General features: G+C 35.8%; 1 protein-coding gene and 1 long non-coding RNA gene across 5 annotated transcripts in view; one reads left to right on the top strand and one right to left on the bottom strand.

Annotated features, from left to right (window-relative positions):
* The window catches only part of SAMMSON (survival associated mitochondrial melanoma specific oncogenic non-coding RNA), a 435,002-nt gene that overhangs the window by 177,775 nt on the left and 241,641 nt on the right, over positions 1-15,586 (bottom strand). Inside the window, exons 5-7 of one of the 3 annotated variants that reach the window (NR_186032.1) lie at positions 7,794-7,842; positions 7,619-7,708; positions 7,145-7,221 (exon numbers count right to left, since the gene is read on the bottom strand). The exons of 1 other annotated variant lie outside the window; for it this stretch is intronic. This is a non-coding gene — a long non-coding RNA (survival associated mitochondrial melanoma specific oncogenic non-coding RNA). The remainder of the gene's footprint in view (positions 1-7,144; positions 7,222-7,618; positions 7,709-7,793; positions 7,843-15,586) is intronic. One more of the 3 variants, NR_186030.1, reaches the window with a different exon arrangement.
* Positions 1-15,586, top strand: part of MDFIC2 (MyoD family inhibitor domain containing 2) — a 118,160-nt gene that overhangs the window by 55,824 nt on the left and 46,750 nt on the right. The window lies entirely within an intron of this gene.

Here is a 15,586-nt window from a genome sequence, read left to right as displayed (position 1 = left end):
GTATTAGTATATTACATATGTTTAGAGAACTCTTAACTTGGAAGTAAATGATTAATAGGGGACTTCCTGACAGTTAGAATGACCTAGAAGGCCAGTAATGCCATCTGACCCTTTCCATTGCTTCCCCATACTGCTAGAAAAGGAGGGAAGGAGGGACGCATCTCATGGCTTGAGGATTTCCTTTCCCATTATTTACTTTACTTTCCCATTATTTACTGATGGAGCAGCAAGTGGCATAGCATAGGTTTTCCAATATTGTATTAATTTCTTTAAAGTCACTAGGGTTTCAATACATGGCACTTAAGAAGAACTAAATGAACTAAATGAGGTCCTGAGACCCTCAAAGAGTTAATATACCTCCTTAAATTAGAATTGAGAGCATAAGCTTTTATTAATTGCAGTTTACAGTCAGCATGGCATTTTAAAGGAATCTTAGAGATTAGTTTATATAATAGATCATCATAGGGAAGATTGCTAAAAAGGCCAAACTATGTCTTTCACATAACGAGTACATTTCTCTCTGTCTGACTTAGAAAATCCACAACAAAGGTGTCATCTTGATTCCCAGAAAGTGGCTTCATTTTTATTAGAAACAAAAACTTTACAACTAAAGTTTTAATGTTTCCCTCTGAATAAAAAGGATCCATCTTAAAGAGTCATTCGTAACCATGGGGAAAGCAATAGATAAAATCATTTGACCTTGTTAGTTCTTGCTCCATTACCTAAAACCCTGAATTTCTAAGTATATTGTTACTATGTGTATCAAAAAAATAATTTGGGGTGGTACTATTACACCTATAAACTGGTTCAATGCCAGTGGAGAAAGAAAAGTGGGTAGATCTTGATTTTCAATTACGTGTTGTAAAAAGTTTACCAATTCTCCCTGTAATTAGAATTTTTTTCCTGTAAATGCTCAGGATCCACACAGTTTGCACCTAAACAAGAAGTTAAAGCATTTTCTAAAGTTATGGAGGCTTCCATCAATTGGTGTGCATTGATCATTTCCCAATTCCTAATGTTCAGAGGGCACATAAGCTGCAGTTGAAAAATAGCCCCCTGGCTGGGTACGGGGGATCATACCTGTAATCCTCCCCTTGAGAGGCCAAAGTTGAGGGAATACTTGAGCCCAGCAGTTCAAGACCAGCCTGTGCAACATAATGAGACCCCACCTCCACAGGAAAAAAAAATAGCCAGGCTTGGTGGTGCATGCCTGCAGTCCTAGCTGCAGGACTAGGAGGCAGGAGGACTGAGGCAGGAGGACTGAGGCTGCAGGACTGAGGCAGGAGGATCACTTGAGCCCAGGTGGTCAAGGCTGCAGTTAACTGTGCTCATACCACTGCCTGGGCAACAGAGCAAGATTCTGTCTCTAAAATAAAGAAGAAAAAAAAATTACTGAATCACAGAACCAAAATGCTTATTCCATATCTACTTATTATGAACCAAATGTCAAGAACAGCCAAGCCTCTTCTTTGGTCCTTTTATTTCTGCACTTTTACTGACTATAAAATCACAGTATGTATGTTTTTTCATAGAAGTTTTGTTTTACAAAAATTTATGTGTCATTGGTCCACTAAGCTACTATTCATCTTATAGTTTACTAATATTTTAAGTTTTTACTTTTCTTTTTTTAGACAACATAAATCAAATTAACTTCTTTGATACCAAAGGAGCAGCATGGTTTAAGAATTCCACTAGTTCACTGTTTCATTAGTTGAACTTTCAATTGTTCCACAGGTTTTACCTGCGTTTCTCTCTTTCTCAAGCTGATTTTCCACTCATTTCAAAAAGTATTGTTGTAAAATTATAAGGAACAATCTAAATGTCCATCAGTCTATTACTGGTCAAATACATTATTGCACATTCATAATAGGAATATTAGGAAACCATTACAGAGGAATGTTACAGTCGGAAAAGGAAATACAATGACAATTTTATATAATATGCTCTCAGTTTTTTAAACAGAAATAAGGGATGCATAAATAAAGACATGTATGCATAAATCTTGTATAGAAGAATGCACAAGAAGCTACCAACTGTTTAGTTACTATGGAGAGGTGATAGAATATCTCTATTGAGTAGAGTGCGTCATGACAGAACTTCTGCTTTTCATTTTATAATCTTAAGAAAAAGATTATCTACCACTGTGATAAACTTAAATAGTAAACTTCTAGGTAGTCCCTGATTTCATAGTGGAAAATTGTTTTCCACTTTTGGTTTGCTAAGTATGATAACCTCTGCCACCTCACCATTAGGGAAAATAGATTTGTATTTATTGTTCCAAAAGCTCTCTAAGTGAAAACTAATTTTCCCCAAAGTTTAGTGGAAGGAAAGCCCAAAAGAAGGTCTATTTTTCTTTTACGCCCTTTGTGTCTAAAATGGATCATGTTATTTCAGTTCATGCTCACATCTGTTTATAATAATGTACAACTTGTACAAAACAAAATAATAATTGAGAATAATTGCATGGATTGAATAAAAATATGCAATTTTAGAATGTTTGGGGTTGAGATTTTTTGAAAAAAGAATCCCTTAAGTAGTCTTAAAATATGACTTTAATTTATCCATTAAACTTAACAGAATTCAAATGCAGACTTCACAGCTGTTAAAATCATGCAATTGACACTAATGTTTTATCATTACTAGTTAGCATACAATTTTTTTTGTGTAATTGGAACTGGGTTTTGTTATGTACAATTACCAAAAAATTTTAATGCTCTGAAAAGAATATTAAAAATATAAATATGCCTACTAAATAACTGTTATCTGAATCAAACTGTACAGATTCATAATTAGTCTTATCTCTGCATTTGTTAACCCTTTTTTTGAATCTTCTGAGCTAGCTATATTATGCCACAGAGCATACTAGGAAAGCTTCTGGACTTTGTTTTGTTTTTAAAAGAGATTATACATTTTTAGTATGTTTAAAAAGTTTTATCTCCAGGAACAGAATTTTTTTCACTTAAGCTTATTTAATACAAGAGTTTCACATCTTTCTAAATGGGTTATGGTATAGTCTTATTGAGTATTTATGTTCAGATTTCAACATCTGGATAAAATATTTTCTTTTTTTATTTGTATTTTTACTTTTTTTAGAGTTGGGGTTTTGCACTGTAGCCCAGGCTGCAGTACAGTGGTGTTATCATAGCTCACTGCAGCATTGAACTCCTGGGCTCAAGCCATCCTCCTGCCTTAGCCTCTTGACTAGCTAGGACTACAGAGGTGCATCACCACACCTGGCTAATTATTTTGTATGTTGTAGGTGAGGTCTTGCTATGTTGCTCAGGCTTCCTATCTTGGCCTCCCAAAGTGCTGGGATGACAGGCATGAGCCACTGTGCCCAGCTGGATGAAACATTTTCAATGTGGAAATAAGGTGCCCCACCGAAAGCAGCCAAGGCTCTGGTATTCTACAACTCTTCATCCACTCTCTACTTTATCCACTCAGCCCCTTGCACATTTATCCCCCACCTTGGACTCCATGCACACCCCTGCCTCTGTATCCTTGCACTTCCCATTCCCCATAAATAAAATGGTCTTCCCTATCCACATGGCTCCCTCTATTACTTCTTTCAGGACTTCACTAAAAGGCACCTTCTCAGTAAGGACTGACCCTACCATATTTTCCAAAATGTTGTATCTCACTCACCTGCTGTATATTTTTCTCTTTAGCACTTATCACAATCCAAAATACTTTTTTATTTTAGGTATTAGTTTCTCTTCGATTTTTTTTTTCTTTGAGCAAAGTCTCACTCTTGTCCCCCAGGCTGGAGTACAATGGTGTGATCTCAGCTCACTGCAACCTCCACCTACTGGGTTCAAGCGATTCTCTTGCCTCAGCCTCCCTAGTAGCTGGAATTACAGGCGCCTGCCACCACAGCCGGCTAATTTTTGTATTTTTAGTAGAGAGGGGGTTTCACGATGTTGGCCACGCTGGTCTCGAACTCCTGACCTCAGGTGATCTGCCTGCCTCAGCCTCCCAAAGTGCTGGGATTACAGGCATGAGCCACCGCGCCTGGCCTTCTTTTTGATTTTCTTTTTAATGGTTTAGTTTGTTTTGTTCACTGATGTATCCACAGAACCAGTTCCTGACATGTAGAGGCATTCAATTTAAAAAAATAAATAAATAAACATAGGGCAATACAGTGCCTGAATGATGAAATTAGTTGGAACCAAATAGTTACCTCCTATAAATGGGGCACATCTTCTCCGGTTTACCATGGATATCTCATTCCTGTTATCTGGCCCACTTTATTGATTTATATTGTTTGCCTAGCCTCACTTAGCTTTTGCAATTGTAACCTTGAATCACGTTTGTAACTTATTATTCTCTCTGACCCATCTTAATTGAACCACTTGACTCCATAATCCATCGACAGTTATTACCACAATAGTTTATGTCCTCAGTTAAGACCCACTCCCCAACACCCAATTGTCTAAAAAAGTCATACACTGAAGCAAATGGGGTGACACCTATGAAAGGCTTATGGGAGAATTGTACGCCACACCATACACCAATGGAAAATCACAGCATACGATACATATACTTTAAGCCTAAGTCATACATTGGATAAGAATTCCACTGAAACTATGGGTTTGCAGAATTCCCCCATTTTGTTCAATTTTGCCAAGTAACAGGTTCAGGACATTGGTCAATTACACATGACTCATAACTTTATTAAAACTTTTCAGATCTATATGAGCTGAATTCAAGCTGCAGCTTCAGAGCTAGCTTAGAATTGAAAGACTTAATAATAACAGGAGAAACTCCTTTTGCCTCCTCACATATGCAGAATTGAAGGCACTTGTTTTGCCTTCAATTTTAGTTCCTTAACACGTGTTTTGAAGACAGTTAAGGAAGTAAAATTGGCACACTGTATTGGTTAAATATTGCCATAATTACAGTGTAACAAGACATCCCAAATTTCAATGGCAAATAACAACAAGCATTTATTTCTTTCTTGCTTATCTATGAGTCAGCTGCAGTTTGGCTAATCTGAATCAGGTGCAGTAGGGTTTGACTCAAAGCTGCAGGTGTGCCTAGGTCCGTTCTACAGGTTCCTCATCTTCCTTAGACGAGCAACTACTTAGGTATGGTATTAGGTTGGGGCAAAAGTAATTGCGGGTTTTGCCATTAAAAGTAATGGCAATATTATAATATTCTCAATGCAAAAGCAGAACCTAAATTTGCAGGTATATTGCTGTCATCATATTGTTTATGTTGGCCAAGTCAAGCCACTAAGCCTTCCAGAAAGGAGCAGGAATGTACACTCCACCATCATGAGGCCAGAGCAAGGCTATGCCTATAAAATACTATTTAAGGGAATGAAAAAGTGTAGACCAATACATTGATCTAATATATACCCACTATTATGCCAGTAGACAGATACCTGATATATCTGTAACCTTAAATCTTGGGATGCATAGTCAGATAAAAAAATCAGATAGTCCCCCTATTATGGCATAGGTGAACAATGAACATAGAAAATGAAGACTGAAGACTGCAGTAAATCACTTTACTTTCTGGACATTGAGTTCTAAGAACTCAGATATTAGAAATGAAACTCTACAAAGCATTGGCATCTCAAAATTCTGAGACAGTAATAACCACAGAACCTGAGGAGTAGCTCTGTCTCCAAAGATGTGGGCAGAAACCACCTTTTTGCAATTTCTCTAATGGAATTACAATTAACCACAGGCCTGTTGTACAATAAGGCTCCACTGGGTATTACGAGTTTGGTTTAATGAATACGATTCAACCGTGTACAGCATATTCTCTAAGTCTCTCTGGAAAGGCGTTTAAATGGTGATTTCACAAAATATTACTTTTAATCAAATCACATTGGGATGTCATTACTTAATAGTTTGTCTTTCTCTAAATAGATTAAATTTTATTGGAGACCATTTTTTTCAGCCAAATGTACTATATATTTTTGATGAAGCCTTCTTACTATTTGACAGTCTGCCCATTCAACCTGGCTTTCCCTGAAAAGAACTGTGTGCTGAAGAAGAAATGCATATGTTTATGTCTGTAAATCCAAAGAGAACACAATATTTTCTTAGTCCCAAATTGCAAGATGCTTCCAGGACAAACAAAAGAATTGCCAGTGGAAACTCTGGATATTAGTATTTGAAGTGTTCTAGGGAAGCTGGAAATTTTTGTGAAATAAAAACACAGCGTAATTTGAAATTACACACATTCGCTGAACAAACCTTTGCCAAACTGGCTGCTCAGAGACTATTTTTCCACCCGAATAGTTTAATGGTTTTTCTTTTAAGTATTAGTTGAAAATATTTATCTAAAAGCTCAAAGAAATGTCCTGGAGTTGATTTACATCTCGTTGGAAATCATTCTGAGGTTTGTGTTTGTGTGTGTGTGTGTGTGTGTGTGTGTGTGTGTGTGTGTGAGATTCATTAAAAGAAAAATACCGAATATTGTCAATAACAATAAAAACACAGGGCATGACTTCTCAATTACCTAAAAAATGTCGCTGGCAATAGTAAAATTACAAGTTACAAATTATATCCTAAGAGAGTAGAATTAATCAATAGAACGTGAGAGATTTGGTGCTTCAGCAGCACAAGATGAGAAGAATTAAGAGGCCCAACTCAAGAAGTTGTGAGAAAGTGTTAAAAACTCCAAATCCTTCACAATATTTATTGAACAGAGAAGAATAACTAGCAACAGGCTAAAAAATCCCCTGGCTTAAACAACTAAATAGAAGAAGGGATGTAAAATTTGCACAACCTGACCACACCCTTTATTTTAAAAGAATAACTTAATAAACAACTCGAAGCCAGAACTTCTCTCTAGATTTTACACCAAAATAGCTCAACACCAGCTAGGCTAGTGGATCTAATTATGTGCTATAACAGAGGCCACTTGGAGTACTGTTCCTTTTTTGCCAGAAAATTCTCTTGCCCCCTCAAGAATTTTTTTATTAACGTTAGCAAATAAAGGAATTTCAGCATCTTATTTTATGACCACTGGCATCAGTGGTTACAATTTGAAATAACTACCGTATCTTAGCAACTCTAATCTTAACAAAATAAATGCAGCAAGGAGCAAACAGGCTTCGCGCCATACTAATGTCTCATCAACATCCGAAAAAGGGGAAGGCGGGAAATAAATGAAGGATGACTCTCACTGTGCTGGTACTGTGGAATTGGCAGCTCTCCCATGACCAAAACATTACATTTCTTTCCATTTTCACAGCAGGGGCACCTGCAATGATATATTTTAAGAAAAAAAATTTACTTAGACCTAAAGGGGCAGGCATAAAAGAGAGAGGGGAAAGGATGATTAATCAGAAAGAGAAAGATGTGAGGGAAAAATTGAAATTGTATCCTGCTTATTTATTTTTCTTATGATGCAGAGGTCACAGCAATGGTAGTATCTGTTAGTTGTCTCCTAAATTGCATTCCAATCAATGCTCATATTTGCACAATATGATAGATCCCCCCCTTAGACACTGAAGCCTGAGGTAGCTCCAAATTCACATTATAACTTCCATCAGAAAGAAGGCACTACATAAATTGTGAATGAATGAATGAATCCAGTTCTGTCCCTTCAAACCGGTTAGTAAATATTAAGGACACAAAGCTCTTGATTCACTTCATACCTCTAGATCAATCACTTAAAGTGTTCCTAATGTAGAACTTGGTCCAAGTGTACATCCACATCGATCTGAAGTCAACCTCAGGAAGCACACCTTAAAGAAAAGATCAGGGACTTTGTGGTTAGAAGGACTTGAGTAGGGACCTCCACTTCCTCATTTCCTAGCACTGTGAACTTACGATAATATCTCTGAGCTTCCAATTCTTTAGCCGAATGGGATAGAACTCCCTAGGAAATAAAATGACAGTGAAGTTGTCAATTGGAATAATGTCTTAAAGCTTCTTAGCCCATTTCCTGGTAAGTAGATTTACCATCCAGTGAGTCCTTTCAATTGATTTCCTTTCAATTGAGTCATGTAGGCCACCACTGGCAAACATATCACACATGGTAGCCTACTCAATACTATCTTGTTTTATATTAACCAGGTTAATCACCATTTTCCAATATGTTGAGCTGTTGAGTTCTTTTGTTCACTAACTCTTGAATCTGGTTATTCTGTCCATTTCCAATGGCAAATTAACATCTTGTTTAAGCTTTAATTAACTCCTGTCTTTACTGTTGATTGTAAAAGCCTAAATATTGCTCTTCTAATCCAATCTTGTCCCTTCCAATCTGCTGCCAACATTCTCTTTCTAAATTTGACTATGTATTTTCCCTGTTTTAAATTCTCCTTTGTTTAATATATGAGCCTCCAAGTTCTGAGCTATGCCTACTTTTCAAGTTCCATTTCCTGGCATTCTTTCTACCCTGAACCCTACACTCCAGTTCAAACCAGTGTGCTTCTAATTCTGCTTCATAACCCAACACTTTTTGGCAATTTTGCTCTCAATATAACATGCTTTTCAAAATTTTTTCTCCATTTATAAACTCCTTCAGAGGTGGAACATTATTTCTCCAGTGAAGACATTCCTGCAATCTATTTAGAAAGTTGATAATATTCTACGTAAGATCATATCTATACAATATACTATGTTTTTATAGCACATAACTACAATGCTTTGCAATTATTTACTTACTCATGTTTCTGTCCTATTAGACTGTGAGTCAGAGACTTCAGGACAGAGAATAATATGGTTCATTACTCTCATTGTCTAGCACAGTGTCTGAATTTAATACATACTCAATAAATGTTAGCCTATCTCCTTTACCATTCTCCTTCCTACCCTTCAAATACTACAAAGATGGATCGAATTGACCTGTTTAGACTTTTATTTTGATCATTGTAGCATTAAATTCTACTTTATTTGTGAATGTAATGATTGATCTCATCTAAAAGAATACACATCTCTTTACTACAGAAAACAGAAACTTATAAAAAATAACTTATGATATTATTTTAGTGCTTCATGAATATTTTTATATCTATTTTTTTTAATGACCATAACCCTATTTTGTGTGTTTGAAACCTTGAATCTTCCTTTAGGCTCTGTCTCACTCTCTTTTTTTACCTTGGTCCCACTTGCTTTATATTGCATTGGCAAATGCTCATAGCATGTATACAGTAGAAACAAAACCAATGATAATGATGATTGGGATAAAAATAGTTACCTTGTGCTATTAGAGTCATAAATTCTGAAGATTAAAAGAGATATAATGTTATATATTAAAATTCTAATAGAATTGAGTTGTGGCATTGATATGTGATCAAAAAATTGGTATAATATAGAAAAATCCTATATGTTTAAACTCCTCTAGAAAATTTTCAACTAATTCATATAATAGATAATATATATTATATGATAAAGAATACATATGAAGTGCTCAAGAGCACAGTTAACTTTCTGTTATACAACCTTCCTGGTGGGCTTTAAAAAAATTATTCACTAACTCTCTCCGCATTAACCATTCAGAACTCCTCTGTTTTCATCCTTGTAAGAAATACTGCCAGAGAAACACAGCCTATAACTTACTGATAGGAAGGTGTCAAATTTCACCTTGCATCTGCTGAAGAATATCTCAAAATGGAAATAAAACCATGGAGGTAAAACTACCATTATGTCTGAAAACACAGGGAAGTCATCCAAAGTTAGAAAAAAGGAGAAAAATCAATCCAATGGCCAAGAATAAATTCATTCAAGCAACATGAATTGATCTTCTACCATGCGCTTGGTACTATGATTGGCATTCAGGAAAATAAACTAAAGAAAAAAAAATAACTATCCTTCGTGGTAGTCATGGAAACAGATAGGCGACCACTCACTGATTATTATGATATGCCCTGAGCCTTGTATTGTTCATGAATATTCCATCCAGAACCTATAATTACGAATTATTGAAAAAAGAGTCATGTCTAAATATAATATTATTTCTATTTTGTGAAGAAGAAAACATATTTACAAATATTTAAGATGGTAGGGTTGTTTTAAGGGTGACAAAAAATAAAGGTCTATTGGGTTTTTTTCCCTCTAAAAATGTTTTTTATACCAATGATAGTCTACTTTATAAAGAATACACAAAGTCTTGCTTTCGTAGTTTGGATTGCCAGATTAAATATAGAGTGCCCATAATTTTTTTTAGTATTGTGTCCCACGTATTGCTATATAAATGTAGGTTGTTGTCAACAACCCCTTAAATACGTTTCAGTTATCAAGTATGTTCCTCGTATTTCATGGAACATCCTTATACTAACAACTGATTCATTATTTAACTGAAATTCAAATTAAATTGTGCATCTCGTGTTTCTGTTTGATAAGTCTGATAGCCCTATGTATAGTGATGCCCATCCAATGATCAAACTCCCCACTTTGAGTTCACTCTATGTTGTTTCAGTGGACCAGTGGATTGAACAATGATGAGATACCAAGCAGCCTACTTGGTCTTGTGTTTACAACAGCAGTGTTGTTCAAGCATTTAGACTTAGACAGTTTCTTTCCAGCTTACGTTCAAACTGTTTCTGACATGTTGCTCAAGTAACAAAGTGTGACCTTTATCCTTTCCTCCTGGTGAACAAAACAGAAATTTTCTAAGGAGATAAAAATATCAAAAATTAAAAATGGTGATGTACTATTCCAAGAATCTTACGGCTGTCAATACTTTATGCTTTTAAATAGTTGCTACGGTTCATCCCAGAAGCATCTGCATATATCTGTGGGGTTTTTTTTTATGGTGTGTAGTGAACTTTGATATCTTTTGGGAATAAAAGAACTCTCTATCTGTCTATCTACATATATATATTTAACAATGCAAGTTATTGTTATATAAATGTAGGCTGTTGTCAATTTCAGTTCCCTACCATATCAAAAGAACAAAGCAGGCAGGAAGAGCAAGAGGATGATCTAATATGCCTATGCTAATAACAAAGCCAGTGTCCTAAATTGGCAATGGCAGCCCTCTTCTGCGGAGATTGTTTTTAACACCATCAGTAGACATTCAAAAAAATTGGATGGTGACAGGAAGAGCACATTTTAAATTGTCAACCTTCATGATGTCCTTTTGAAGAATAGCAATTACATAACTCAGGGAGCTTTATTTTGCATTTGAATGTGTATATATATATATATATATATATATATATATATATATATATATAAAGCAGTTTGCAAAAACGTTATGCAAGAATCCATATTCTGATTTCTTTGTAGAAATTAAAGTTACTTATTTTTTACTATAATCTCGTTTCCCTTTATTACCCAGTTACTAGTTAAGGTTGGCATCAATATTAAGTAAGTAGTACAGAATTAAAACTGCTTTCTATTTAAGTTATTAACAAAGTCATTTAAAGAGGCCATCGACCATATGCTATTTCTTAATCATATTCAAAGTCAAGTTTGTGATTTTCCAAGAATCATGTACTTTTTAAATCTATACTAGCATTAAAACATTAAGAGTGTGTTAATATTCTAATATTTTGTTAAAGCTTTAAGTTGTTTTCTCTTAGGCAATGAGAGAGGAAAATGTTATCCAAAAGTAATTTTATATCACCAAAATTTCATTTGGTTTTTTTCTAATTCTCATCTTCTTTTGAAATAATTTTAGAAAAAAACTCTTTTAAAAATGCAGACTTAACGCCAAGAGAAATGCATTGCAAGCACCCTAAATAGTTAATGTATTTTCTAAATGAATGATTTAAAATAGCTATTAAAGGAGAGGAAATGAGCTTAGGTTTCTAGTAATGACTTCTCCTCTTCAAAATGAAATCTGTAAATCCCTGATTGCAATTCCAAATCCCCTAAGGACCAGCAGTTCTGGGACCAGGGCTCACTGGCTTTATGTCTAATAGCACCAGATAAGTAGTATGATTTTTATATATATAATTTGGGGGAATATTCAGAATTTATAGTCCTGAAGACTATTTATGAATGAATTTCCTTTTTAAAGTACATTATTCTAAAAATCAACTTTTCCACCCAAATTGTAAGCAGAGCACATAGGAATGTGAGAGGCATGGATATATACATAGAGACGTATGTGTATGTATTTATATATGTGTGCACACACATGCACAAAATATAAGTACCATTTTATTCATAAGAGCATAATGATTCAGCCTGTGATTGTTAATAAAAATGCATTTCTAACCATCAAATTTGAGTCTATTATTCTAAGTTAATTGCATTTGCCCTAAAGAGACTTACAGCTGGCTGTCAGCCTGTTTGTGTCAGTTTCATTTTATTCACCAGTCAATCTTGTCTCTTCTTCTTTTTACATCCCATATATTGATCAAATAGATTTGTTAGCCTACTCACAGCTTTCACAGCATTAAAAAATTAAAAATAATCTTGATATTATCATCAGATGCACTTGATTACTCCGTTCCTTTACATGTTATTTTAATTGATATTTCAGTAGCAAATAGAATGCCCTTTTGACAGGCCCATAAGACTGCCATTAAATATAATAGATGTAACTCACTCAAAGAGGCATTGAGAAAATGTTAAACATGAAAAAGTCTACACTGCAGTGGTCGGCAGCATTTCAGCTTTTCAGTTAGAACAGAGAATACTCATCACGGTAAACATTAGTTCCTTACTGGAGTGCATTACAGAGTAAGGAAGCATCTTGTTAAAATTGGTCCTCAGCAATTATTAGGTGGTGAAGTGGATTAAAGAAATAATGGGCACCTTGTTCCCATTTGAGCCAAAGAAAACCAGTGGGGGAAACCGAAGAGCAGGGAGGTTAGGCTAGGAAAGTAGTTACGGTGGAAAATCTGTGAAGAATTAGAATCTTCCATATGTGAGTCAAGTTGCGTAGAGGGGAGATGAAAGGCATCACAGGGTGAGGAGATAATTAGCAGATCAGAAGCAAAGCAGTTAAAAGGTGACCCTTACCTCCTCTGTTACTTACTCTAGGAAACTATAGACAATTATTACAGTATTTTCTCCAGGGATGTGTGATACAATTCCTCCACATATCCTCCTAGACACAAAGCTCTCTCAGAATTGTCATTGCATTGCTTGAGTTCAGTGCTTTTTATGGAAATTCCTTTACATCATGCCAGCCTTGTCTTTCAATCTTGCTTTAGATCAGTGATGCCCAACTGAGGGTGATTTCACTCCCCAGGGGACGTTAGGAATACCTGGAGACGTTGGAGAAGGTGCTGCTGGCATCGAGTGGGTAGAGGCTAGGGACGCTGCCACCCAACCCAGAATGCATAGCACAGCACCCCCACGACAAAGAATTCTCCAGTCCAAAATGACGATAGTGCAGAAATTAAGAAATCTTGCTTTAGATGTGTGGCTGAAATACACTTAAAGCCAAAAAACGAAAACTACATCACATTCAGCAGCAGTGCAGTGAGTAGGATTTAAGCAACTCTGAAAGAAAGAGAGCAGTGCAGCTGCTGCACACAGAATTTCACACTGGCCTATTAAATAATACAATTCATTACCTAGACCCCAGGAACAGTTGAGCCAAATACAACCCCAATTTTAAGGAAAACAAAGAAAAATGAAAATTATTGCTTGATAGAAGACATTTCAAAGGCCTCCAAGACAAACCAGCTGAAAAATCCCCAATAAAAAGACTCAGCAAGAAAATTGTGTCACAGCCCCCAATCCTCAACAGACCTTAACAAGATGTTCATGAGCCAAAGACTCTTGTCTGCAGAAGACAAAAGGCACAGGAAACAATATAGTCTAGAGAAGGATTATCATTAAGAGGCAGGAGAAAGATAAAACAGATTCCTCCACCTTACAATTAGAACTCCTAAAAAGAATAACCAGAAATATGCTAAAAACCCATGTCACAAAACGGTTATATCGTTCTGCTCTTGGGAAATTAGTATTTAGGTTAGGCCTGGGGCAATTTTTTTAAAGTCTTTTTTTGATGGTTGTTTTTTACCCACCTGCCTAGACACCCCTGCCACCAAACCCCTCCCTGGCACAGATGGCCAAGACATTTGCTTTTTCAAATACTCCATATTTCCACAGCCACCCACCAGACAAAAATTAGATTACCAATGCTTGTGTAAACTTTCCAAGCTCTGACACAATAAGATTCCAGGAAATGTACATGCACAGCTAAAAGCAGCATTATACATAATGCACTGTAATTCCACCAGACAAGTTGCTATCTTCGATAGATATACACATTTTTCATGCCAAACACATGAACGTCAATACATTTTTCTCAAGTTAAAATGGAAACCATTTAACAGATATAATGGGCACAATGAATTTCATTTTGCATTACTAATGCAGCAGAGAAGGAGGGAAGTTTTGGAAAGGATTGCAATGAGGCCAAGAACAACAGGAAACAACTTAGAAGCTATCATGCTTGTCCAAGTAACTGCCCCAAAGGATGGTCATGGGACCTATGGGCCACTGAGATTTCATATTCTCAATTATAATTATCTAATTCTACAAAAAGAAATTTTCCACAAATGGGAAAAAAGTTTAAAAACTGACAAAATCATAGCTGTGTTTTTGCAAAAAGATCAAGAGGATGTCACTATGTGTTTTTCCCACCATTTCCAAAGAGATGTTATCAGAGCCAACTTGATTTTAGGGGAGATTAATTGGAGGCATATGAATGAAATGATGTGTCATATAAAAAAGGTTGGAAAGATACTCCAGAAGCCCAATCCCCAGCCTCTGCTTTTACCAGTAGAAATACATATCCTCCAAGACTCCTTTTCATCCCTATTATACATATGTCACAATAGCAGTACACATCATTGGCCCTTACCCTTACGAGGAAATTGTCTCTAGTCTTTCTGGCATCAAAGATAGTGTAGTCAGCCGTTGCACACAGAAGAACTGTGTTGGTGCCACCTACTAGGATTAGATAATAAACTCTAAGGGCCTAAACAAATGTTATTATACAGTTTAGAATGAAACTTTTGAGCACAGGTTATTGGACTCAGGCAAACCTTCGTTCTAAGCCCATCTCTACTACTTACACACTGTGTGAGCTTGAGCAAATCACTTCATCAGAGTTTCAGTTTCTCCATTTGTAAAATAGGTATAATATTTTCAACATTAATGGTTTTTAGGAAGGATTAAATGGACTCATGTGTGTGAGACATTAGACGCCTTAGTAGCCGCAATGTTTAGGAACAGCAGGACATGATTGAACACTCTGGCCCTATTTGGTTAAAGTATTTGCTTCCACCACTTTCTGAGTCTGTGAACTTGGGTCAGGTACTTAGTATCATTAAATTTCAACTTCCTTACCTCTAAAATGAGAAAAATACTAACAAGAATACCTTTAGCAATGTTATGAGGATTCAAGTGTGATAATAAAAATAAAGGGCTTAACAATTCCTACCATACCTCCCATTACATTTTAGCCCTAATAATTCTTTTCATCATATTTACAAATGAGATATAAACTTTTTTAGTGTTAGTCACCAAAATGACTGGTGAAAACATCTCAAAATATGAATGCATATACAAAGACAGACTTTGAAAGAAAACAATTGGAGAAGCATAGCACATTCTTCATCATGTTTATCATGAGTTCCAGCAATAATTTGCCTTTTGATTTTATGTTTGCCTCCAGTATATAAAGACACACCTCTAAAGAGTGGAGT

This window comes from Homo sapiens, chromosome 3 (assembly GCF_000001405.40).
Source record: "Homo sapiens chromosome 3, GRCh38.p14 Primary Assembly".
In the NCBI taxonomy this organism is placed as follows: Eukaryota; Metazoa; Chordata; class Mammalia; order Primates; family Hominidae; genus Homo; species Homo sapiens.
Note: the sequence above shows the minus strand (reverse complement) of the source record. Positions and strands in the feature narration are given on the sequence as shown.